The 24,912-nt window shown below is 48.2% G+C and overlaps 2 protein-coding genes and 2 pseudogenes across 5 annotated transcripts, besides 5 other annotated features; 2 read left to right on the top strand and 2 right to left on the bottom strand.

The window, feature by feature from the left end:
- Positions 1–29: 29 nt before the first annotated feature.
- Positions 30–9,229, bottom strand: C22orf46P (chromosome 22 open reading frame 46, pseudogene; annotated as a pseudogene). Its single transcript, NR_160905.1, has 4 exons — positions 8,862–9,229; positions 7,323–7,382; positions 4,315–4,703; positions 30–4,228 (listed from the first exon to the last, which is right to left on the bottom strand). The product of NR_160905.1 is annotated as a chromosome 22 open reading frame 46, pseudogene (transcript).
- Positions 904–1,283: an enhancer, noted in NCBI's record as "active region_19128". NCBI's record gives its function as "activates an Ori minimal core promoter by ATAC-STARR-seq in GM12878 lymphoblastoid cells {active_cell/tissue: GM12878}" and the evidence as "EXISTENCE:reporter gene assay evidence [ECO:0000049][PMID:35858748]".
- Positions 1,294–1,373: an enhancer, noted in NCBI's record as "active region_19127". NCBI's record gives its function as "activates an Ori minimal core promoter by ATAC-STARR-seq in GM12878 lymphoblastoid cells {active_cell/tissue: GM12878}" and the evidence as "EXISTENCE:reporter gene assay evidence [ECO:0000049][PMID:35858748]".
- Positions 7,686–24,233, top strand: SNU13 (small nuclear ribonucleoprotein 13). Of its 3 annotated transcripts, NM_005008.4 has the most exons (4): positions 9,299–9,372; positions 15,579–15,810; positions 17,802–17,922; positions 22,971–24,233. In NM_005008.4, exons 2-4 carry the CDS (start codon positions 15,808–15,810, stop codon positions 23,231–23,233), a joined length of 387 nt encoding a protein of 128 aa, NP_004999.1. In that variant the 5' UTR covers positions 9,299–9,372; positions 15,579–15,807; the 3' UTR covers positions 23,234–24,233. The 3 variants fall into 3 exon arrangements, with proteins under 3 accessions (XP_016884300.1, NP_004999.1, NP_001003796.1); XM_017028811.2 differs by lacking the exons at positions 15,579–15,810; positions 17,802–17,922; positions 22,971–24,233 and adding exons at positions 7,686–7,731; positions 9,839–10,448 and having other exon boundaries at positions 9,185–9,372; NM_001003796.2 differs by lacking the exon at positions 15,579–15,810.
- Positions 9,200–9,379: an enhancer, noted in NCBI's record as "active region_19126". NCBI's record gives its function as "activates an Ori minimal core promoter by ATAC-STARR-seq in GM12878 lymphoblastoid cells {active_cell/tissue: GM12878}" and the evidence as "EXISTENCE:reporter gene assay evidence [ECO:0000049][PMID:35858748]".
- Positions 9,619–9,818: a silencer, noted in NCBI's record as "fragment chr22:42084352-42084551 (GRCh37/hg19 assembly coordinates)". NCBI's record gives its function as "represses an EF-1alpha promoter that drives an FKBP-Casp9 reporter gene in an ReSE screen in K562 erythroleukemia cells {active_cell/tissue: K562}" and the evidence as "EXISTENCE:reporter gene assay evidence [ECO:0000049][PMID:32094911]".
- Positions 9,930–10,099: an enhancer, noted in NCBI's record as "active region_19125". NCBI's record gives its function as "activates an Ori minimal core promoter by ATAC-STARR-seq in GM12878 lymphoblastoid cells {active_cell/tissue: GM12878}" and the evidence as "EXISTENCE:reporter gene assay evidence [ECO:0000049][PMID:35858748]".
- RNU6-476P (RNA, U6 small nuclear 476, pseudogene) lies at positions 18,349–18,455 on the bottom strand (annotated as a pseudogene).
- LOC107985567 (protein LLP homolog) lies at positions 21,006–22,964 on the top strand. Its single transcript, XM_047441692.1, has one exon. It carries the CDS (start codon positions 21,041–21,043, stop codon positions 21,422–21,424), a length of 384 nt encoding a protein of 127 aa, XP_047297648.1. The 5' UTR covers positions 21,006–21,040; the 3' UTR covers positions 21,425–22,964.

Raw genomic sequence — 24,912 nt, 5'->3', positions numbered from 1 at the left:
ATGTGCCAGAGAAATCAGAACACCACAGGGCCCAAATGACCAATTTATTAGAGGCTTTGCAGGGATCAGGACACTCTCAAAGCTTTTCTGATATGTCCTGAGGACTCTGGGCCTGAGTCTACTTTTTAAAGCCATTCTGGAAGAGAAAAAAATTCAGATGCTTCATAATACTAAACTTTTTGGAGGCTCGTGTATTCTGTGGAGCCCCATTTGGGTTCCCAGGTGCCTCCTGGCCCTGGGGACTCTCTGTCTTAGGAAGGGTGGCCCCAGTACAGCAGTGACCTTGCAGCTGAAGATCCCTCTGTGAAGCAGTGTGATCTCCGATGCTGTCCTCCCCTGCACGAGGATCACCCACTTTGGGAGGCAGAGTAGAATCAGGTTCCCTCAGGCTCAGGTTAGGGGCCAAGTGCTTGCGCTTGGCGAGCTGTGGGGACCAGGACATCTTGGCCAGAAGGGTCAGGCCCAGCTTTGCCACCGCAGAGTGGAGCCTCCCTTTGAAGCTGACAGGTTCTGCAGAATGGCAGGAAGGCTGCTGCCCAGCCCCTCTGCACCCTGTAGATTCCAGGCTTCCTCTTCTCCAGTATGTGAGCTGCTGGCATTTGAGTCTGGGGAGCTTAGAGGCCTCCCAGGATGTACATTCCTTCCTCCAGTGGGCGTGGTCTGCCCTAGAGAATGAAGTCCTCACTCTGCTGGGAGCCCTCTCTGCCAGCTGGGAGACCCTTGACCTGATCATTTTCCTGCCCCTACTGTTCTCACTGGGAGGCTCTCCGACCCTTTGTGGGCCACACCAGCTCCTGGACTCCGCTGCCGGCCTGGGGGTCCTGGGAGCTGGGAGCTTGGTCCTAGCAAGCGCTTCCTGGATCTCCTGTGGTTCTCTGGCGCCCCCTGGTGGCCTGACTCTCCTGGCCTTTTCAGGCTGGATGGAAATGCTTAATGGGCTCTGACATGTGCGGTCTGTTCCTCTCCAGAGCTCTGGCTTGTATAGGAAGTTTCGAGCTTTTTCTGTCTGGGCGCTGAACCCTCTGGAACCTCTCTGGGGACTTAAGGCCTGGTGGGGAGCCTTGGGCCTCACAATACCTTTCCTGCTGGGCTTGGAGCTCCTGGCCTGTGTTCAGTCCAGAGAGCCTCGCCCCAGCAAGGGTCAATGAGCAAGATCCTAAGAAGTTAAACAGGAAATAGGACTCCAGGATCCGCCGGGGAAGACCCCACTTCAGGTGTGCAATCCTCCTCCGCATGAGGGACTCCAGGAGCAGTCGTTTGCTCTTCTTGAGGCCTGTCCCCTTGGGCAGGACAGTGAGGGCGGTGGGAGGACCCGCTAGAATGATGGCAGCTTCCGGGGCTGGGCCACACGGGAGACAGGAGCAGGCAGAGGGCATGCCCAAGGGAGCTGTCAGAGACGGAGGGTTTTGGGACTGCCGAGTCAGGCTGGGGGCCTTCTCTGGATCCACCCCTTTGTCCCTTTGTCGTCTTCTCCAGGATTCAGGTTGGGCCTGCTGGGAGGCTGGACTGATCCCCACTCTATGATCCCTGGCAGGGGTTGTGCCCTGGCTGGCCAGATGCTCTCCCTCCCCACCCACCAGCAGGAAGACTTCACCCCAGTGGGGGACAGGATTCATCTCAGGACAGGGGGCAGAGATGAAACCATTCACAGCCACTGCCTGTTCCTGTTCCCGGGTCCCACATCCATAGCCAGTGAAGGCTGGAGGCCATGGTAGGCTGTGCTTCCTGCCTGTGGGCCTCTCACTCCCAGAACAGTCGACTTGGAGACTGTCCCTCACAGCATCCTCTCCTCTGACCAGATCCTTGTTTCCTCCCCTTGGTGCTCGAGGCTCTCCAACATCCTCATCTGTGCACTTTCTCTGGCTTCCTATATCCTGGAGTTCTGCAACATCCTCAACTCCACCGTCATTCTTATTTCCTTGCCCTTGTACCTGGATCTCTTCAGCAATTTCAACTCTTAACTGTCCCTGGTCATCTCCTGCAGGAGCCTGGGTCTCTGTACCATCATCAGCTGTGGTCCCTCTCAGGTTTCTCTTCCCCTGTATTTGAATTTCTTCATCATTCCCACCTCCACCCTGTTCCTGGTTCTTCCACTCTGATAAACGGGTCTTTCCATTATCTTTACTTTTTAACAGTCTGTTTCTTCGCTCTAAGCCTCCAGTTTTTTCCCCTAAGCCTCCAGATCATTCTACCGTCCTCGTTTCCAACCTCTCTCTGGTTTCTCTTCTCTGATGCCTGATTTTCTGCAACATCCTTTCCAATCAGCTCCCAGTTCCTCCTCCCTGGTGAATGGCTCCCTCCAATTTCACTATCTAACTGGTCCTCGTTCTCTCTCTTAGGTCTCTGAGTCTTTACACCGTCCTCACCTCCAGGTTCTCTCTGGTTTCTCTCCACTGGAGCCTGAATTTCTGTTCCATTCTCACTTCCCATCTGCTTCTGGCTCTTCCACTCTGATAAAAGGATCTTTCTACCAAGATCACTTCTAAACTGACTCTGGGTTTCTTTCCCAGGTGCCCAGGTCTTTACACCGTCCTCACCTCCAACTTCTCTCAGGTTTCTCTTCCCTTGTATCTGAATTTCTGCCCCATTCTCACCTCCAATCTGCTGATCTTTCTTCCATTCTGCTGAATGCATTTCTCCATCAATTTGACTTGTTAATTTGCCCCAGTTCCCTGACTCAGATATCTGGGTATGTGCACCATCTTCGCCTCTAATATGTTCCTGATTCTTCCCCTTTGGTATGTGAATCTTTCCACTAAATTCATTTCCTAACTGACCCTGATTTTTCCTCCCAAGTTCCTGGGTGTCTTTATCATCCTCACCTTTAACCTCTCTCCTCCCTAGTGACTGAATGTCTGTACCATCCTCTTCTCTAAGTGGCTCATTGCTCTGAGTCTCCACATCAGTTTCACCTTTTAATTGTTCCTGGATCTCAGCCTCGGGTGCCAGGATATTTGTGCCATCCTCACATCCATCCTTTCTTTGGTCTCTCTTCTCTGATGCCTGAATTTCTGCTCTATGTTCACCTCCAATCCAGTTCTGATTCTCCCAACATAGTATCTCAAATTCTCTATAAATTTCACTTGCTACTTGTCTCCGGTTTCCCCACCATAGTGCCTGGATCACCACCCAATCCTTCTCTTATCTCCCTGAGCTTCTTCTTGGTAGCTATCTGGGTTTCCTTAGCATCTTCATCTCTTCTCAGGCCCTTATTTCCCCACCCCACTTGAATTTCATGACTTAATTGTTTCTGGTTCTCTCCCCCAGATGCTTGGGTCTTCTTAGCTTTCTTACTTCCACCTTGATCATGCTTCTCCCACCTTGGTGTCTGGATCTCTGTAACATTCCCATTTCCAACACATTCCTGTTTTCCCCAATCCAAGGCCTGGGTCTCTACACTATTCTCTTTTTTTACTTCTCCCACGTTCTCCCTCCCACATGATTGGGTTTGTGCAGCATCCTGACCTCCAACCTGATCCTTGTTTCTCCCCTCTTCCATCTGAATTTCCACATCCGCATCACCTTTCATCTGATCTTGTTTCTCCCACTGTGGTGTCTGGGTCTCCTCACCATTCTCATCTCCAGTCTGGCCTTGCTTCCCCAATCCTTGAGCCTGGATCTCTTCCCCATCCTCCTCTCCAGCCTCTTTCTTGTCCTTCTTCTCAAATGTCTGGGTCTCCACAGCATCCTCACTTCCATTCTTATCCTGGTTCTCCCACTCAGGTGTTTGGGTCTCTGCATCAATTTTACATCTTAACTGTTCTTGGTTCTCTCCCATATGTGCCTGGGTTTCAGGGAGATTCTCACCTCCAGCCTCCCTCTGGTTTCTATTCCCTAGTTCCTGAATGTTGGTTCTACTCTCAACTCCCATCCGGTCCTGGGTGTCCCACCCTGGTGTCAAGATCTCGCCATCAGTTTCACTTATTACTAGTCTCTGGTTTGCACACTCCAACACGTTAGTCTCTGCATCACCCTCCATTCCAAAGTCTACTGGGAACTACTCCCCAGATGCCTGGATTTCTGAAGCATCCTCCCGTCTGCTCCCTGTCTGGTTCACCCACCTTGGAGCCTGGGTCTCTCTACTATCCTCTCTGCCTGCTTTCTGGTTTTTACCCCCTGGTTCCCAGGCCTCTGGTCGACAGTGCCAAGACTTCCAAGTGCACATTCTCAGTGTTTGGTGGGAAGGATCAGGCAGGAGCTCTCTGGGGGCAGAACTGCAGCCTCTCAGCTGAAAGTAAGTTTGGAAGAGAGGTGGTTAAGGTCATGGAGGTGGGGCGAGACCTCACACTGATGACAGGCTCCAGTGACACCAACCTTTCCTGTGAGTGAAGCAGCAGCTGCTCCATCTCTTGACACATGTCCAAGGCAGGGCGAGTCTGACCATCATGGAGACACCAAGGCACCTGCCATGCTTTCCAGGAACTGTTCTGAGGCAGTAAACAGGTGTTTGAAATGGAGGTGGTACAAAAGATGGGCTCAGAGTGGGTGTGGACACCCGAAGGTGGGCCTGGACATGGGTGCTGTGGAGAGAGCAGGTTCTGGGCCCATGATTCCTGGAGGCTCCTCCGGTATCCCCATCTCTGCCTTTGTGCGCATTGTTGAGAATCTAGGCCCCTGGACTTTCCAGGACTGAAGAATTCAGGAGTCAGCTTGAAGACAGTTTCGCACCTCATGGAGGGCACTGCCCGCTTCTGCAGTGGCACCTGTAGATGAGAACAGAGAAGCAAAATCCTTGCACACATAATAACTTGCATAATCCGCACAGACAGAATAGTCAGGAAAGGCTTCTTGGAGGAAGTGACATTTGACTGGAGCCTGAATGAAGTAAGGGGCAAACCAAGTGACATCTGAGGAAAGAGCGTTGTAGGCAGAAGAGACATTAAGTACAAAGGCTTGAGGATGGAACAAAATTACATGTACAGGAACAGCAAAGAAGACTGTGTGGCCAGAATGGAACCAGTAATGAGGAGAGCACTGGGAGATAAGATCGGAGACAAACATGGGACAGATTATGCTGGTCCTTAGAGTCGTGATTAGGAGCGAGAATTTTATTCTGAGTTTGCCAGATAATGTAAGTATAGGAGCCATTGCAGGGTTTTGAGCAGCTAAGTGCTATGTTCTGTTTCTAAAAGTTTGTTCTGATGGCAGGGCATGGTGGCTCATGTCTGTAATCCCAGCACTTTGGGAGGCCAAGATGGGTGGATCACTTGAGGTCAGGAGTTCCAGACCAGCCTGGCCAACATGGCAAAACCCCTTCTCTACTAAAAATACAAAAATTAGCCAGCCATCATGGCGCATGCCTGTAATCCCAGCTACTCAGGAGGCTGAGGCACAAGAATTGCTTGAACCCAGGAGGCGGAGGTTGCAGTGAGCCAAGATCACGCCACTGCAGTCCAGCCTGGGTGACAGAGCGTGACTCCATCTGAAAAAAAAAAAAAAAGAAGAGGCTGGGTGCACTGGCTCACGCCTGTAATCCCAGCACTTTGGGAGGTCGAGGTGGGCGGATCACAAGGTCAGGAGATTGAGACCATCCTGGCTAACACGATGAAACCCCGTCTCTACTAAAAATACAAAAAAAAAAAAAAAATTGGCCAGGCATGGTGGCGGGCACCTGTAGTCCCAGCTACTCAGGAGGCTTAGGCAGGAGAATGGCATGAACCCGGGAGGTGGAGCTTTCAGTGGGCCGAGATCGCGCCACTGCACTCCAGTCTGGGTGACAGAGCAAGACTCCGTCTCAAAGAAAGAAAGAAAGAAAGAAAGAAATCCAGAGTCGACCAGGCGTGGTGGCTCACACCTGTAATCCCAACGCTTTGGGAGGCCAAGGTGGGTGGATCACTTGAGGTCAGGAGTTCGAGACCAGCCAGACCAACATGGTGAAACCCTGTGTCTACTAAAAATACAAAAATTAGCTGTGCGTGGTGGCACATGCCTGTAATCCCAGCTACTAGGGAGGCAGAGTCAAGAGAATCACTTGAACCTGGGAGGCAGAGGTTGCTGTGAGCCGAGATCGCACCACTGGACTTTAGCCTGGGCCACACAGCAAGACTCCATCTCAAAAAAAAAAAAAAAAGAAAAGAAAAAAAAGAAAAACAAGAAAGAAATCTGCAGAGTTGGCTAGGAGTGGTGGCTCATTCCTGTAATCCCAGCACTTTGGGAGGCCAAGGCAGGCGGATCACATAAGGACGGGAGTTCGAGACCAGCATGACTAACACGGAGAAACCTCGCCTCTACTAAAAATACAAAATTAACGGGTGTGGTAGTGCATGCCCATAATCCCAGCTACTCAGGAGGCTGAGGCAGGAGAATTGCTTGAACTTGGGAGGCAGAGGTTGAGGTAAGCCGAGATCACACCATTGCACTCCAGCCTGGGCAACAAGAGCAAAACTGCATCTCAAAAAAAAAAAAAGGAAAAGAAAAGGAAATCCGCAGAGTTGTGACTAAAACTTCTGGGCTGCTGGTAATCATTTGTTTCTTAATCTGCATGCTACAAACTGATGTATTCAATTATGAAAATTTACTGATCTACACACTTGTAATTGTGTGTGTGTATTATCCTTGGACCAATTTTTTTTTTTAAAAGAGAGAAAAAAGAGGCCAGGCACAGTGGCTCACACCTGTAATCCCAGCACTTTGGGAGGCCGAGGCAGGCAGATCACAAGGTCAGGAGCTCGAGACCAGCCTGGCCAACAAAGTGAAACCCCATCTCTACTAAAAGTACAAAAAAAAAAAAAAATTTGCCAGGCGTGGTGGCGGGCGCCTGTAATCCTAGCTACTCGGGAGGCTGAGGCAGGAGAATCGCTTGAACCAGGGAGGCGGAGGTTGCAGCAAACCAAGATCACACCACTGCACACCAGCCCAGGCAACAGTGTGAGACTCTGTCTCAGAAAAAAAAAGAGAGAGAGAGAGAGAGAGAGAGAGAGAAAGAAGAAGGCCATTCTGGTGACTGTATGGAGGATAGGCTGTGGTTGGATAAGAGAAGCAGCAAGAACCAGGCAGAAGGCTGTTGCTATGGTCCAGTTGAGACATGATGGTGTCTCTGCCCAGGAGGGTGTGGTGTGGTTAGAAGTGATCAGATTTGAGATACAATTTGCAAGTATAGCCCCTGGGACCTGCAGATGGATTGAATGTGTGGAGTGAGGGAAAGAGAGGAGCTCAGGGTGACTCCTGGGTTTGGGGCTTGGCCGATGCTCTCCCTGAGCAGCCTGAGTTTCCCTCTGATTCATTTCTGGTACACCAGGCATAAAACAAGGTCCTTGTAACAAGTGACAGAGACAATCATGGTGCTGAGGGAAGAAGGGTGAAGGTGTATGGGGCCCACTCACCTTGATGACATTCCTTGTGCTGAAGCGGGTCCTGGTGACCTGGTGCCAACAGTGCCGGACCTGCCAGACCAGAAAGAGGCAGAGGACAAGCAGGTTGCCACAGCACTGAGGGTCCCTGCAGCTGTGATTCTGGGAGAGCAGGCCCTGCACTGGCTCCCACTCAGGGCCATGGAATGGCCCCACCACAGCACAGGCACCCAGCAGTGACAACAACATGGCAAAGCTTAGATCAGGCAGATGGTGTTGGGAGCTAGAGGGCAGGCCTGGCACATCTGATGCAGCCAGCTGCAGTAGGATAGCCGCCACCTCATAGCACCCCTGTCACTGAGGCCACCTCACAAAGGGGGCTGATGCCCCAGCCTCAACTCTGACCCTGGTGCCAGGCCTGGTTAGCATGCTCTTGGTGCAGGTAAGGACAGTATTGGGGAATTGTTCAAAAGTAATTAGGAGGAAGAACTTGTTTTAAACAAACCCATCCTCTGGAATGAAAAGATTAAGTTCCCTGAATGTGTGATGGGGTGATATAACCTGCGGTCTGCTTGATTTCTTTCTTCCTATGAAATACTTGGATCTGCCTGTCCTTCTATTATCAAACATTTAATGAACACTGTATTGAATACATGTATTCTTGTTTAACCACTCAACATGCCTTTCTCGTTGCTTGCAGTATCCTGATTTCCTGTGGGGGAATTACTTTTCCCATCTTAGGATCAGTGTTGGTGGGAAAATAAATGTTACCCTGAAGACTCTTTTACCCAAAAGTTCTATTCAAAATATTAAATATCTGAGCAGGCAGGGACGTCAGCCAATTATAATGAGCCAGGCCTTAACTGTTTAGTGGCTGGAATTTTTTTTTTTTTTTTTGAGACCGAGTTTCCACTCTTGTTGCCCAGGCTGGAGTGCAATGGCGCGATCTCGGCTCACTGCAACTTCCACCTCCCAAGTTCAAGCGATTCTCCTGCCTCAACCTCCCGAGTAGCTGGGATTACAGGCATGCGCCACCACGCCCGGCTAATTTTGTATTTTTAGTAGAGACGGGGGTTTCTCCATATTGGTCAGGCTGGTATCGAACTCCCAACCTCAGGTGATCCGCCCGCCTCAGCTTCCCAAAGTGCTGGGATTACAGGCGTGAGCCACCGCACCCGGCCCTCTTTTTTTTCTTCTTTTTTTTGAGACGGAGTCTCACTCTGTTGCCCAGGCTGGAGTGCAGTGTGCAGTGGTGCGATCTCGGCTCACTGCAAGCTCCGCCTCCGGGGTTCACGGCATTCTCCTGCCTCGGCCTCCCGAGTAGCTGGGACTACAGGCGCCCGCCACCATGCCCGGCTAATTTTTTGTATTTTTAGTAGAGACGGTTCACTGTGTTAGCCAGGATGGTCTCGATCTCCTGACCTAGTGATCCGCCTGCCTCAGCCTCCCAAAGTGCTGCGATTACAGGCGGGAGCCACCGCACCCGGCCGGCCTTTTTTTTTTTTTTTTTGAGAGTCTCGCTCTGTCGCCTCAGCTGGAGTGCTAGAGTGCAGTGGCATGATCTCAACTTACTGTAGCCTCCACCTCCGGGGTTCAAGCGATTCTCCTGCTTCAGCCTCCTAAGTAGCTGGGGTTACAGGCGCCCGCCACCACGCCTGGCTAATTTTTGTATTTTTTAGTAGGGACGAGGTTTCGCCATGTTGGCCAGGCTGGTCTCGAACTCCTGTCCTCAGGTGATGCGCCCGCCTCGGCCTCCCAAAGTGCCGGGATTACAGCCATAAGCCGCTGCGGCCGGCCGGTGGGTTACTTTTTGAATGTTTAATTCATTGTTTCTGCCAATAATTTGTACTAGGCAGCTCATAAGAACGCCAAAGTACGTTCCTTCTTCGACACAGGGCCAGTTTCCGCGCCAGTGCCCCCGTAGAGGGCGGGGCCCACTCGCTCGCGTAGCGTCACCTTCGCTTCCTGCCGCGCGGGGCCATTTCCGCTGCTGCTTCTGTGAGTTTTTCCGGTGCACGCGAGTGCTTCTGAAACGTCAGCTGCGCTCCCCTAGGAGTGCTGAGCCCGCGGAACCGCAGCCATGGTGAGTGCGTGCGCCGGCCGAGGGACCGGGAAGCGGGAGACTCAGGGTTGCGTTCACTCCCTAGCCTGTTAGATGGAGGCTTAGAGCCTGCGCCGTCTCATCCGCCGGCGTTGGGTCTTAACCGCCGGGCCCTTAGTTAGAACCCCAGCAGCGGCGGGGTCCCAGCAGCCTGGCCCGAGGTTAGAACTCAGGAAACCTTAGGATCCCCGCAGCTGTGTTGCTTTGCCGCACGGTCTGTTTGCTTGGCAAAAGGCCTGCAGCGAGCGGAGGGGGCATGGCCCAGCCTGGGAGAAAGAGACCAACCCACGTGGGAGAGGGCAAAAAGTTGGGTGAAGAAAACTTGGCTCCAACTTTTTTTTTTCCTTGTTTCTTTTCATACGAAATCTACGATGGCGTGGGACCCTGGGATTCGGATCAACCTCTCCTACCCACCCTACCTCACCCCACCCCCGTTGCTGGGGTTCAGGAGGAGATCTCCCATGGGTCTGCGCTTAGTGCCCGCCGCGAGTCACACGCGCCAGGGACCTAGAGGAGCCTTTGGCATTTGGGGGCTGTGGGGAACATGAAGTGAGCGCGACTCACGGCCTGGAGTGCAGGAAAGGCTTCTCCTGCAAGGCGGTGGCTTCAAAAACCAGAAGTCTGGTAGCACCACGTGCGGCGTCTCTAAACTCTTGGTCGTCTCTGACTTTTAAACATCTAGGGAAAGTTCTAAAACGTGTGTCCTGGCGTAGTAGTTTTGGTTGGCACTTGGTGAGGAGGGAAGAATTTGTAAAGCACTGTAACTTCTATAGTTAATCCTTCCAGTGGAGCTTGGATCCCGGCGGTAGCACTCCCCACAAACCTCCTCCCATGCATTTTGAAGCTTAGTACGTGGCTGAGCCTAGAACTTGAAGCTTCCAAACTCAGTGCTCGCTTTAACGCAGCTCCCTGAAACGTTTTGGAATCGGATGGTCTCAGGTTGAACTTTGCAGTTTTCCTCAACTGTAAAATGGGGATGACAGTGCATGAGGGTGTTGTGAGGATCAAATGAAATAAAGCATGGTAAACATCTAGTCCTGATGCTTGGTACAGAGTAAGCACGCAGTATTTGTTGTTCAATCAAAACCTTGCAAGTTTTGGCTGTCTGGTGTACAGCGAAACCAAACTGATCATGCTAGGTAGGGATTTAGGTTGGCTGGTGGTATGATATCATTCGTTAATTTATTTAACCCCTGAAGAAATTGAAAGGCAAATAAATACACCCTAAGCAAGTTTCAATTAGTGTTTATAAGCTAGTTTGGTTTTAAAATTGAGTTTAACTTTTTTGTTGACTAATAGTGAAACATTTAGGTATTTAATGATTGTTCAGATTCCTGAAGTCTTCCTCTTTTATGAATTTGATGTTTATTGAGATTTGAGAATCCTGATTTCCAGAGAATGGGTTGTTGGAAACAATGGCAATTTTTAAAGTTTTTTTAAATTGACATATCATAGTTGTACATACTTTGGGGGTTCCATGTAATATTTCTAAGTATATCTATTTTAAAACATGCAACAGGGCCAGGCGCGGTGGCTCATGCTTGTAATCCCAGCACTTTGGGAGGCTGAGGCGGGTGGATCATGGGGTCCGGAGTTTGAGACCAGCCTGGCCAACATAGTGAAACCCTGTTTCTACTAAAAATTCAAAAAAATTAGCCAGGCGTGGTGGTGGGCACCTGTAATCCCAGCTACTTGGGAGGCTGAGGCAAGGAGAATCGCTTGAACCTGGGAGGCGGGGGTTGCAGTGAGCCAAGATCACACCACTGCACTCCAGCCCGTGTGACAGTTTGAGACTCCGTCTCAAAAAAATAAATAAATAAAACTTGTGATAAATTATTAACCAAAATTTCCAGCTGGGCACGGTGGCTCACGCCTGTAATCCCAGCACTTTGGGAGGCTGAGGCGGGTGGATCATGAGGTCAGGAGTTCAAGACCAGCCTGACCAACATGGTGAAACCCCATCTCTACTAAAAATACAAAAATTAGCCAGGCGTGGTGGTGCGTGCCTGTAATCCCAGCTACTTAGGAGGCTGAGGCAGGAGAATCACTATAACCGGGGAGGCGGTGTTTGCAGTGAGCCGAGATCATGCCACTGCACTACAGCCTGGGTGACAAAGCAAGACTGTGTCAAAGAAAAAAAAAATCCCTACTGTAGTATCAAATAAAACATTTGTATGGCCGGACGTGGTAGCTCACACCTGTAATCCCAGCACTTTGGGAGGCCGAGGCGGGTGGATCACCTTAGGTCAGGAGTTCAACCTGGCCAACATGGTGAAACCCCCATCTCTACTAAAAATACAAAAATTAGCTGGGCGTGGTGGTGCATGCCTGTAGTCCCAGTTACTCGGGAGGCTGAGGCAGGAGAATTCCTTGAATATGGAAGGCAGAGGTTTCGGTGAGCCGAGATTGCGCCACTGCACTCCAGCCTGGGCGACAGAGGGAGATGCCGTCTCTTAAAAAAAAAAAAAAAAGATAAAAGAATAAACTCCAAATCAGTAGAGGGGAAAATAGTGCAAATGCAATGATAAATCCAGAGAAAGGAAAGAAAGAAAAAGAAACAGAACAAGTGGAACAAATAGAAGGCACAAAAGAAGGAAAATTTGAAACCATTATACCAATACTTAAATATGTAAAGGGACTGAGTGCTCCAGTTAAAAGACGGGATGTGGCCAAGCACTGTGGCTCAAGCCTGCAATCCCAGAAATTGGGAGGCTGAGGCGAGAGAATCTCTTTAGCCCAGGAATTGGAGACCACCCAGGGCAAAATAGTGAGATCCTGTCTCTACAAATTTTTTTTTTTTTTTTTTTGAGACAGAGTCTCGCTCTGTCACCCAGGCTGGGTGTGCAGTGGCACGATCTTGACTCACTGAAACCTCTGTCTCCTTGGTTCAAGCGATTCTCCTGTTTCAGCCTCCCGAGTAGCTGGGATTACAAGCATGTGCCACCATGCCCGGCTATTTTTTGTATTTTTTTAGTAGAGACGGGGTTTTGCCGTGTTGGTCAGGCTGGTCTCCAACTCCTGACCTCAAGTGATCTGCCTGCCTCAGCCTCCCAAAGAGGTGGGATTACAGGCGTGAGCCACCACACCCAGCCTAAACAATTTTTTTTTTAATTAGCCAGGAGTTGGCCGGGTGCAGTGGCTCATGCCTGTAAACCCAGCGCTTTGGGAGGCTGAGGTGGGCGGATCACAAGGTCAGGAGTTCAAGACCAGCCTGGCCAACATGGTGAAACCCCGTCTTTACTAATAATACAAAAATTAGCCGGGCATGGTGGCGCATGCCTGTAATCCCAGCTACTCAGGACGCTGAGGCAGGAGAATTGCTTGAACCTCGGAGGCAGAAGTTGCGGTGAGCCGAGATTGTGCCACTGCACTCCAGCCTGGGCAACAAGAGCAAAACTCCGTCTCAAAAAATAAAAAATAAAATAAAATAAAATTAGCCAGGAGTGGTGGCCCACACTTGTAGTTCCAGTTACTGAGGAGGCTGAGGCAGGAGGATCGCTTGAGCCCTGGAGGTCGAGGCTGCAGTGAGCTATTGTCATGCCACTGCACTCTGGTCTCAGTGATAGAGTGAGACCCTGTCTCAACAACAAAAAGGGTGTAATTCTTTTTTTTTTTTTTTTTGAGATGGAGTTTCACTCTTTCGCCCAGGCTGGAGTGAAGTGGCATCATCTCAACCTACTGCAATCTCCGCTTCCCGGGTTCAAGCCATTCTCCTGCCTCAACCTCCAAGTAGCTGGGATTACAGGTGCCTGCCACCACACCCAGATAATTTTTGTATTCTTAGTAGAGACGGGGGTTTCACCATGTCATCCAGGCTGGTCTTGAACTCCTGACCTCAAGAGAGCCACCCACCTTGGCCTCCCAAAGTGCTGGGATTATAGGTGTGAGCCACTGTGCCTGGACTGCCCCAGCTAAGTTTTTAAATATTTTTAGAGATGGGGGTCTCACTGTGTGGCCCAGGCTGGTCTCAAACTTCAGGCCTCAATCAGTCCCCAGCCTCAGTTTCCCAAGTTGGTGGGATTATAGGCCTGAGCCACTGCAGCCAGTTCAGAATACACTCTTCAAACATGGAACGTTTTTGAAAATTGGCCATAAAGCAAGCCCTGCAAATTTTAACATTGGTAATATTACATACCATTTTTGCCTAACCCAAAAGGAAATAAGTTAAAAATTAGTAACAAAGTAGTTTGAAATGAAAAATATAAACTATCAGAGAGATTTAAAAATTGTAGTAGGAATTCAAAAATAGAACAGAACAATAATGAAAATACCACATACCAGAGCATAAGTGACAAGGGCAGAGGGGGGAAGAAACAAATGAAAGGATATAATGAAAGTATTACTTGGAGCCTAAGATGCTAATGCTAGGGAGAAACGGGATAAAAAGGTAGAAAAAAACACTAGCACAAAATAACCCCAAAGAAAGTAGAAGGAAAGAAAAAAAACAAAAGGAGAAATTGCTGAAATAGAAAGTAGAGCATACTGCTGGGTCTTTTCCTTTCCGAAGCCCCTCTTTCTCACCAGAGAGAGCTGTTCTTTCTCTTTCTTTTGCCTATTAAACCTCTGCTCCCGGCCAGGCGCAGTGGCTCACACCTGTAATCCCAGCACTTTGGGAGGTCGAGGCAGGTAGATCACCTGAGGTCAGGAGTTCGAGACCAGCCTGGCCAACATGGCAAAACCCAGTCTCTACTAAAAAATACAAAAATTAGCCCGGTGTGGTGACGCGCACCTGTAATCCCAGCTACTGGTGGGGGCTGAGGTAGGAGAATTGCTTGAACCCAGGAGGCAGAGGTTGCAGTAAGCCAAGATCGCACTACTACACTCCAGCCTGGGCAACAGAGCAAAACTCCATCTCAAAAAAAACAACAAAAAAAAACCCTGCTCCTAAACTCCTGTGTGTCCATGTCCTAAATTTTCTTGGCATGAGACAACAAACCCTGGATATTTACCCCAGGCAACGAAGCTAGTTCAGTTTGACACTGTTGTCAAAGTTTTGGGGAATTAGTCACTGTCATGCATTGCTGGTGGGTGTGCAAGTTGTTAAACCCTATATAGGGTCAATTTAGAATAGATATAAAAGTTACAAATGCATATTATATCTTTTGACTCGTTAATCCCACTTCTAGGAGTTTATCTTACAGATATACTGAATGAAACATAATATAGATTAGGTATAGATGAGATTAGACATTATAGCATTTACATAATAGTGAAAGATTAAAAAATATATAAATGGGCTGGGCACAGTGGCTCACACCTGTAATCCCAGTACTTTGGGATGCCCAGGCAGGAAGATTGCTTGAGGCCAGGAGTTCACGACCAGCCTGGACAACATAATAAGACAGTGCCTCTAAAATTAAAAAATTAGCCAGACGTGGTGGTGCATGCATGTAGTCCCAGCTACTTGGGAGTCTGAGGCAGGAGGACCACTTGAGCCCAGGAAAGTCCCCCTCAGAAAGATTAATCGAAAAAATAAGGCCAGGCACGGTGGCTCACGCCTGTAATCCCAACACTTTGGGAGGCTAAGGCAAGCGGATCACTTGAGGTCAGCAATTGGGAGACCAGACTGGCCAACATGGTGAAAGACCTTCTCTACTAAAAATACAGAAAAATTAGCCGGGCGTGGTTGTGCATGCCTGTAGTACCAGCTGCTCTGGAGGCTGAGGCTGGAGAATCGCTTGAACCCCGGAGGAGGTTGCAGTGAGCCAAGATGCCACCACTACACTCCAGCCTGGGTGACAGAGCGAGACCCTGTCTCAAAAAAGAAAATGTTTAAGTAGGTAACATGTGAAGGAGACATACTCTATAGACATTAAAAAGAAAGGATGGCCAGGTGCGGTGGCTCATGCCTGTAATCCCAGCACTTTGGGAGGCTGAGGCAGGCAGATGACCTGAGATCAGGAGTTCGAGACCAGCCTGGCCAAAGTGGTGAAACCCCGTCTCTACTAAAAATACAAAAATCAGCCGGCCGTGATGGCGGTCACCTGTAATCCTAGGTACTCAGGAGGCTGAGGCTGCAGTGAGCCGAGATCGCGCCACTGCACTCCAACCTAGGCGACAGAGGGAGACTCCGTCTCTAAATAAATAAATGTATGAGGAAGAGAAAAATAATATGGAGGTCTTCCCTTGACCTCCCCCAACCCCCTTCCTTTAGAGAACTCCTCCATCCTTCACCTAATTCTTCCTAGTTGTCCTGGGACCAAGACAAATTCGCCTAAGATAAGGAGTTACGTAGAAGACAGGGCGTCCTGGTGTACGGGCTGGCCCTGGACGTCACTTCCGCTGGCGGCAGTGGCGTCACTTCCTGCTCTTGGGGGCGGGGCATCCGTGTCCTTGCGGTGCTGGGCAGCAGACCGTCCAAACCGACACGCGTGGTATCCTCGCGGTGTCCGGCAAGAGACTACCAAGACAGACGCTATGGTGAGTGTTCCTACTGGGCCATTATCTCCGGGTCACCTCCCGAGAGCTGTGGTGCCGCGAGCGTGGTCCCGCTGTGTCAGAAAAGCTGTAAAAAAACGGAAGGAGGAAAAGGCAGGTGCGCGGTGTCGGGCAGGAGACCACCGAGGCAGGCGCTATAGATGAGTGGTCCCACCAGGCCATCTCCGTCTCCAGCGACTGCCGTCCACCCTATGTCCAGCCTCCAAGGCCGAGGTTAGGTGGTAGCCGCAGTGAATCACTCGCGATTCGCACGTTACACACGATGGCGACATGTGGGGCCGCACCTGGGTTATAATATGAATATATCCTTGTATATAAATATGTGTTTGTAAAAACAAAAAAAAAAAGAGAAAAATTAATGAAAATGATTTACTGGAGCAGTGGGAATGAGATGGAAGGAGCGGAATAGGCAGGCCACTCACCCAATATGCTCCCTACATGGGTGTGTATTTATTTATTTATTGAGACGGAGTCTCGCTCTGTCGCCCACGCTGGAGTGCAGTGGCGCCATCTCCGCTCATTGCATCCTCCGCCTCCTGGGTTCAAGCTATTCTGCGTCAGCCTCTCGAGTAGCTAGGACTACAGGCGTGAGACACCGCGCTCGTCCCCTACATGGGTTATTTTGACACAGATCTGAATGACATCATTTTATCCATAAGTATTACAGTATATATCTATAAAGTAAGAATTTTTAACATAACTGCAAATGCCATTAATTAGTTAATAAGGGTTGCAAGTTGGTGATATTTAACTGTACCATTCCCTCTTTATTTATTAGGCGGAAGAGTGATACAAGAGGTACTTCTCATCTTCTACCTGGTTACCGCCTAATACAGCATTTAGGAAAGGCACAGAAGATGATTGTTTCCCTTTCCCAGTTTTCAAAATATTGAGTTGCTATCACTTGCATAGTTTTGACTTTTAAACCATGAAGATATTTTACATATTTGAAAAATAAAATTTAAAGCAAGCTGACTACAAAATAAATCTACTTGTATACCAAATTGCTAACCACAAGGAAAATTTTAATTTGAATAACTTTTGAACAAAGTCCTGCCACTGGATGGCTTTGATAGGATATATCCTAAGAACAAAAATAAATTTTGACTTTGGTGAGTTTGTTGGTAGAGGTGGTATATTGGTGTAGCAATTTTGGAACCATTTTGTGTGTATTGTAGAGGAGGTGAGGAAATACTTTAATGTGTTGGAAACCATGGGTTTGAACAGAAGATACGCATATGGAGTGGGGAATGGAAAGAAAACTTTGTGCTACATTTACTGTAAATTATATCTTATTGATTCAGTAAATTCAGGTGGAATACGGAAGTTCAAATTTAAAGATTACCCATGGACTCCTGACCTCAGGTGATCCACCCGCCTCGGCCGCCCAAAGTGCTGTGATTACAGGCGTGAGCCAGGAGTTTGAGACCAGCCTGGCCAACACGGTGAAACCCTGTCTCCACAAAAAATACAAAATTAGCCTGGCATGGTGGTGCACGCTTATAGTCCCAGCTACTTGGGAGGCTGAGGCACAAGAATCATTTGAACTCGGGAGGCAGAGATTGCAGTAAGCTGAAATCGCACCACTGCACTCCAGCGTGGGCAACAGAGCAAGACTCCATCTAAAAAATAAAAACAGAAATGGATTAGCCATGGACTCAAATGGATGCGGAGCCATGGGAACCCGTTTGTAATCCATTTGCTGTAATATTATCAAACATTCGGCTGAAGAAAGACAAAAGTACATGAGCTTTAGTATACTTTACTGAACTGTGTAATTCCTAATAGTGTATTTCCTTTTTTTCGAAGGTAGGAGTGGAAAGTCCATTGTTAACTACCTGGTGTTTTGTGTGTTTGAGGGTTAGGGAGCAGGGCAGCTGCCCCCTGTGTCTCAATTGTTGATTAGTATTTTGTGACTCAGGTAGGAAAACTTCTGGCTCAATTTGTCTGATATTTTTATGTCCCCCCCATAGACTGAGGCTGATGTGAATCCAAAGGCCTATCCCCTTGCCGATGCCCACCTCACCAAGAAGCTACTGGACCTCGTTCAGCAGTCATGTAACTATAAGCAGCTTCGGAAAGGAGCCAATGAGGGTAAGGCAGCCACAGGATGCTCTGGGGGAATGTTAAAGGCACCTGTTTCCATCTGGGGCCTCTGATCTGATTTCCAGTTTGGGAGGAGGGCTAGCTGCTCTCGACTACAACCAGTGGGAGGACTTTGGCATTAGATGCTAAAGCTGATGGGCTAAGAATTTTTTTTAGACCCACCAATTGTTAACATTTTGCCACATTTACCTTCTTTTTCACTCTATAAGTGAATTTTATTTTTGCTGAGCCATTTGAAAGCAGTTGTGGAGACTGTATAGTGGCTGTATGACCTCACCAGAGCCATCAGAAGGAAAGGGATATTAATGCTTTTTAGCATCCCTTATACGGTGGATACTTAACATTCATGAATTTCATTTGGTTCCCAGAAACATTCCCTACCCCTCTCCCTTTTTTTTTTGGATGCAATTATTCAAAAACATGGAACGTTTCACGAATTTGCATGTCATCCTTGTGCAGGGGTCATGCTAATCTTCTCTGTATTGTTCCAATTTTAGTATATGTACTGCTGAAGCGAGCACTACCTCCCTTTGTAAAAAAGGAAAAAAAAAAAGCTGTTTTTCAGTAGAATAATTATGTATGCATGATGCTTCTGCCCAGAGGTGATATAGGATACTCTCACTTTATTCATTATTATTTTTTTAATTTTATTTTATTTATTTATTTATTTTTTTATTTGGAGAGTTTTGCTCTTGTTGCCCAAGCTGGAGTGCCATGGCAGGATCTCAGCTTACTGCAACCTCCGCTTCCCGGGTTCAAATGATTCTCCTGCCTCAACCTCCCAAGTAGCTGGGATTACAGGCATGCACCACCACGTCCAGCTAATTTTGTATTTTTAGTAAAGATGGGGTTTCACTATGTTGGTCAGTCTGGTCTCGAACTCCTGATCTCAGGTGATCTACCTGCCTTGGCCTCCCAAAGTGCTGCTGGGATTACAGGCGTGAGACACTGTGCCCAGCCTTATTTTTATTTTTATTTTTTTTCAAGTAGAGACGAGGTTTCACCATGTTGGCCAGGCTGGTCTCGAACTCCTGACCTGAAGTGATCCGCCTGCCTTGGCCTCCCAAAATTCTGGGATTACAGGCGTGAGCCACTGTGCCCGGCTGCCCAGCCTTATTTTTATTTTATTTTATTTTTTTGGAGACAGAATCTCGCTCTGTCGCCCAGGCTGGTCTTAAACTCCTGAGCTCAGGCAATCTGCCTGCCTTGGCCTCCCAAAGTGTTAGGATAACAGCAGGCGTGAGCTACCATGCCCAGCCAGAATACTCTCATTTTAATAGATGCTGGGTAGTTTGATGTGGTAGAGCTCTTTTGTCGTTGAAGATTTTTAATGGAAACATCAGAGATTTTGTCAACTGTGTTTGAGATTTAGGAGAACTATTACAATCGCTTTTACCTGTGTTGCTGAAGGAAGATAAAGTAGACTCTGTGGGTCTCGTCGTAGTGCTCTTTCCTCCCTGCTCGTCACACTGCAGTAACTGCAGTGCCTGGTATAGCAGTGGCCAGTGGGGCATTGTAGGGTGACCCACCAGCTCTCCTGGGAGGTCTCTCTTCTCACTTGATGCACTCAGGTCAGCTTGGCTGGGCAGGGATGTGACTTCTTACACTTCAGGTAGATGAGGACTCATGGACACAGAGCAACCTTATTTCCTCTTGCCATACTTTGCACGGTGATAAGCACACAGGTCCTTGAATGGAGATGCTCAGTCTCAGCGACTTAATTCAGAATATGCTTACTGGGAGTTCAGGGAGGGAGATGCAACAATTTTCCGTACTTCTGCCTCAGTGTCAGGTATTCTTTCTTGCCATATTTATTGATTGCCTGCTATGTGCCAGGCGCATGTATATATGCTGATGATGCACTGGTGAACAAAATGAAGTCTCTGCCTTCTTGGAGTATACATTCCAGTGGAGAAAGACATAGGTTTTATGCCTGGTGGTAAAGAATGCTGTAAGAGGCCGGGCGCGGTGGCTCACACCTGTAATCCCAGCACTTTGGGAGGCCGAGGTGGGCAGATCATGAGGTCAGGAGATCGAGACCATCCTGGCTAACACGGTGAAACCTCATCTCTACCAAAAATACAAAAAATTAGCCGGGCGTGGTGGCGGGCGCCTATAGTCCCAGCTGCTCAGGAGGCTGAGGCAGGAAAATGGTGTGAACCCGGGAGGCGGAGCTTGCAGTGAGCCGAGATCTCACCACTGCACTCTAGCCTGGGCGACAGAGTGAGACTCCGTCTCAAAAAAAAAAAAAAGAATGCTGTAAAACAGAATAAAGTAGAGAAGGGGGATAGGAATGGCAGTGGTGGGTCTTTTTAGATGGAGTATTCAGAGAAGGTCTGTCTGAGGAGTTTGAGCAGAGAACTGAATAGATGAGGGTGTTGGAAAGAAACGTTTTTGGGCATGGTGTAAAGGCATGCTTGAGGGATTCTAAGGAGGCTGGTGTGTGGCTGGAACTAAGTGTGGGGATGAGAGGTACTAGGAGATCACATGAGACCATGTAGGCCACTGTTAGCAGTGAGTACAATGGTAAATGAGTAGAAGGATTTTGAACAGCAAGATTGCTATGATCTTACTTAACACTTATAAAAGAGTCACTCCTATGACTTTTGTAGGGTGAGTAAGCTATAGTAATATCAATAGAAATGAACATGCTTTGCATTTGCCATGTGTCAGGTATTATTATTATTATTTATTTTACTTTTTTTTGAGATAGGGTCTTACTCTGCAGCCCAGGCTGGAGTGCATTGGCATTGATCATGGCTCACTGCAGCCACGACCTCCTGGGCTTAGGTGATCCTCCCACCTCAGCGTCCCAGGTAGCTGGAACTACAGGTGTACGCCACCACACCTGGCTAATTTTTTATATTTTTAGTAGAGATGGGGTTTTGCCATGTTGCCCAGGCTGGTCTCAAACTCTGAGTTCAAACAATCTACCTGCCTCAGCCTCCCAGTGGGCTGGGATTACAGGTGTGAGCCACCATGCCCAGCCTCATCATTCTTATTAACTGGTTTAATCCTTTCAATAATCCTATTAAGTAGAATTATTAGGTAATTAGAATTAGGTTAAAAAGAGCTGAGGTGTGGGTGTTCGTTTCTCAGGTGAAACATGGCTAAAAGCTTACGGAGTAAGTGGAAAAGAAAGATGCGTGCTGAAAAGAGAAAAAAGAATGCCCCAAAGGAGGCCAGCAGGCTTAAAAGTATTCTCAAACTAGACGGTGATGTTTTAATGAAAGATGTTCAAGAGATAGCAACTGTGGTGGTACCCAAACATTGCCAAGAGAAAATGCAATGTGAGGTAAAAGATGAAAAAGATGACATGAAAAGGGAGACTGATACTAAGAGAAACAAAAAGACTCTTCTAGACCAGCATGGACAGTACCCAATATGGATGAACCAAAGGCAAAGAAAAAGGCTGACGGCAAAGCGAGAGAAAAGAAAGGGGAAAAGCAAAGCAAAAGCAGTGAAAGTGGCAAAGGGTTTGGCGTGGTAGACTCTTAAAACCTTGGAAAATGCCACATGGGATAGATGATGGATTAGAATGTATATACATGTATACTTTGATTTCAGCTGCCACCAAATGAAAACCATTTGTTTTCCTATTTTAACTTGGCCTTTTTTCTTCAATTCAAACCCAGCATAACTCCTGAAGTTTGTTTTGGGAACTTGAATAAAATATTTTCTTTGATACAAAAAAAAAAAAGAATTAGGTTAAAAAGAATTAGGTAATTCTTTTTTTATTAGGTAGAATCCTGTTAGGTAGAATTATTTTATAGATGATAAAAGTAAGGGAAGTTAAACACCTTGCTCAAGGTCATTTGTGTAACAAGAATGAGTGCCAGCATTTGCACTCAGACAGTGTAGCTCTAGAGTGTGTGCCCTTCTCAAGTACTCCAGCATGAATGCAGAGTATTCGCACTGAGCCACAGAGGCAAGCAGTCAGGAGAGTACGCATCTGAAACGGTGCTGTGGGGTGTTGAACTTGCATGGTGAGTCGCATGTGGGATCAGCTTTCTAGAAGTATTGATTATGGCAGATTGAGATGGTAAAACTCTGACTCTCAGTCACAGATACCTTGAGAAATACTATATTATTAATATACTACTACTTGCTGGTGGGGGTTTGTGGAAGCTGTTGCAGTTGACAAGGTAAGAGATGATGGTGACTTGGACGAGTATAGCAGAGGAGTAGAAAGAAGTGGTCAGGGCCAGGCGTGGTGGCTCATGCCTGTAATCACAGCACTTTGGGAGGCCAAGGTGGGTGGATCACAAGGTTAGGAGTTTGAGACCAGCCTGGCCAACATAGTGAAACAAAAAATTAGCTGGGCATGGTGGCAGGCACCTGTAATCCCAGCTACTTGGGAGGCTGAGGCAGGAGAATCACTTGAACCTGGGAGGCAGAGGTTGCAATGAGCCAAGATTGCGCCATTGCACTCCAGCCCGGGCGACAGTGTGAGACTCCATCTCAAAAAAAGAAAAAAAAAAAAAAAAGAAAGAAAAAAGTTGTCAGATTAGGACAGGCACAGTGGCTCATACCTGTAATTTCAGCACTTTGGGAGGCCGAGGTGGGTGGATCACTTGAGGTCAGGAGTTTGAGACCAGCCTGGACAACATGGTGAAGCCCTCTCTCTACTAAAAATACAAAAATTAGCTAAACACAGTGGCACGTGCCTGTAATCCCAGCTGCTTGGGAGACTGAGGCAGGAGAATCACTTAAACCCGGGAAGCGGAGGTTGAAGTGAGCCAAGATCGCACCACTGCACTCCAGCTGTGTGACAGAGCAAGACTCCATCTCAAAAAAAAAAAAGAAGAAGAAGAAGTGGTCAGATTCAGGACGTGTTTTGAGGATAAGTGGTGGATTTAATGTAGGGCTTGAGAAAATGCCATTGTGTATGACTGACTGGTGTTTGAATCCTTTATCATATCCCAGGGCCGGTCTAGGACACATAATTGTGTGTGCCTAGGCATTCTTCCCAGTTTGTTGTGGCTGCCCTGCCCAAGCCCACATCACCTATTAGCTTCACGTCCTTCTCTCCGCAGCCACCAAAACCCTCAACAGGGGCATCTCTGAGTTCATCGTGATGGCTGCAGACGCCGAGCCACTGGAGATCATTCTGCACCTGCCGCTGCTGTGTGAAGACAAGAATGTGCCCTACGTGTTTGTGCGCTCCAAGCAGGCCCTGGGGAGAGCCTGTGGGGTCTCCAGGCCTGTCATCGCCTGTTCTGTCACCATCAAAGAAGGCTCGCAGCTGAAACAGCAGATCCAATCCATTCAGCAGTCCATTGAAAGGCTCTTAGTCTAAACCTGTGGCCTCTGCCACGTGCTCCCTGCCAGCTTCCCCCCTGAGGTTGTGTATCATATTATCTGTGTTAGCATGTAGTATTTTCAGCTACTCTCTATTGTTATAAAATGTAGTACTAAATCTGGTTTCTGGATTTTTGTGTTGTTTTTGTTCTGTTTTACAGGGTTGCTATCCCCCTTCCTTTCCTCCCTCCCTCTGCCATCCTTCATCCTTTTATCCTCCCTTTTTGGAACAAGTGTTCAGAGCAGACAGAAGCAGGGTGGTGGCACCGTTGAAAGGCAGAAAGAGCCAGGAGAAAGCTGATGGAGCCAGGACAGAGATCTGGTTCCAGCTTTCAGCCACTAGCTTCCTGTTGTGTGCGGGGTGTGGTGGAATTAAACAGCATTCATTGTGTGTCCCTGTGCCTGGCACACAGAATCATTCATACGTGTTCAAGTGATCAAGGGGTTTCATTTGCTCTTGGGGGATTAGGTATCATTTGGGGAGGAAGCATGTGTTCTGTGAGGTTGTTCGGCTATGTCCAAGTGTCGTTTACTAATGTACCCCTGCTGTTTGCTTTTGGTAATGTGATGTTGATGTTCTCCCCCTACCCACAACCATGCCCTTGAGGGTAGCAGGGCAGCAGCATACCAAAGAGATGTGCTGCAGGACTCCGGAGGCAGCCTGGGTGGGTGAGCCATGGGGCAGTTGACCTGGGTCTTGAAAGAGTCGGGAGTGACAAGCTCAGAGAGCATGAACTGATGCTGGCATGAAGGATTCCAGGAAGATCATGGAGACCTGGCTGGTAGCTGTAACAGAGATGGTGGAGTCCAAGGAAACAGCCTGTCTCTGGTGAATGGGACTTTCTTTGGTGGACACTTGGCACCAGCTCTGAGAGCCCTTCCCCTGTGTCCTGCCACCATGTGGGTCAGATGTACTCTCTGTCACATGAGGAGAGTGCTAGTTCATGTGTTCTCCATTCTTGTGAGCATCCTAATAAATCTGTTCCATTTTGATGACAGAATGGCAGTGCCTGATTCTTAGTAAGTATCCGGCTAAAATTGGAATGAAGACATACTTAGCTTTACTAGAGTGGTGATAGCTGCTTAAGACTTTTTTTTTCTTCTTTGTGAAAGAGTTTCACTCTTGTTGCCTAGGCTGGAGTGCAATGGCACGATCTCGGCTCACTGCAGCCTCTGCCTCCTGGGTTCAAGTGATGCTCCTGCCTCAGCCCCCAAAGTAGCTGGGATTACAGGCGTGCGTCACCACGCCCAGCTAATTTTGTATTTTTAGTAGAGACAGGGTTTCACCATGTTGGCCAGGCTGGTCTTGAACTCCTGACCTCAGGTAATCTGCCTGTCTCAGCCTCGCAAAGCGCTGGGATTACAGGTGTGAGCCACCACGCCTGGCCACTTGCTTAGACTTTTTTTTACCAGAAGGCTATGGAAGAGCTGTCTCCTCCTACCAGGTAGTTTCTACCTTGGCAGTTCAAAATGTCGTCTTATACACACTCAACTGGAGCATTGCTATCACTGGAACTGGCTTTCTCAACCTCCGTGCTGTTGACATTTGGGGCTGGTTAATTTGTTGTGAGGACTGCCCTGTGTGTTGTATGTTTAGTAGCATCACTGGCTTCTACCCGCTAGGTGGCAATAGCAGCACCCCCCCACAACCAAAAAATGTTTCCGGACATTGTTAAA

This window comes from Homo sapiens, chromosome 22, assembly GCF_000001405.40.
Source record: "Homo sapiens chromosome 22, GRCh38.p14 Primary Assembly".
Taxonomy (NCBI): domain Eukaryota; kingdom Metazoa; phylum Chordata; class Mammalia; order Primates; family Hominidae; genus Homo; species Homo sapiens.
The sequence above is the reverse complement of the archived record's forward strand: the minus strand, read 5'-3'. Positions and strand labels throughout refer to the sequence as shown.

What these genes read in the sequence shown, in the direction of transcription:
- SNU13 (NM_001003796.2), top strand. An exon ending in TCGGAAAGGAGCCAATGAGG is followed by an intron (nt 17,923 to 22,970) that starts GTAAGGCAGCCA and finishes TTCTCTCCGCAG; the next exon opens with CCACCAAAACCCTCAACAGG.
- LOC107985567 (XM_047441692.1), top strand. Translation starts at nt 21,041, where the DNA reads ATGGCTAAAAGCTTACGGAGTAAGTGGAAAAGAAAGATGCGTGCTGAA.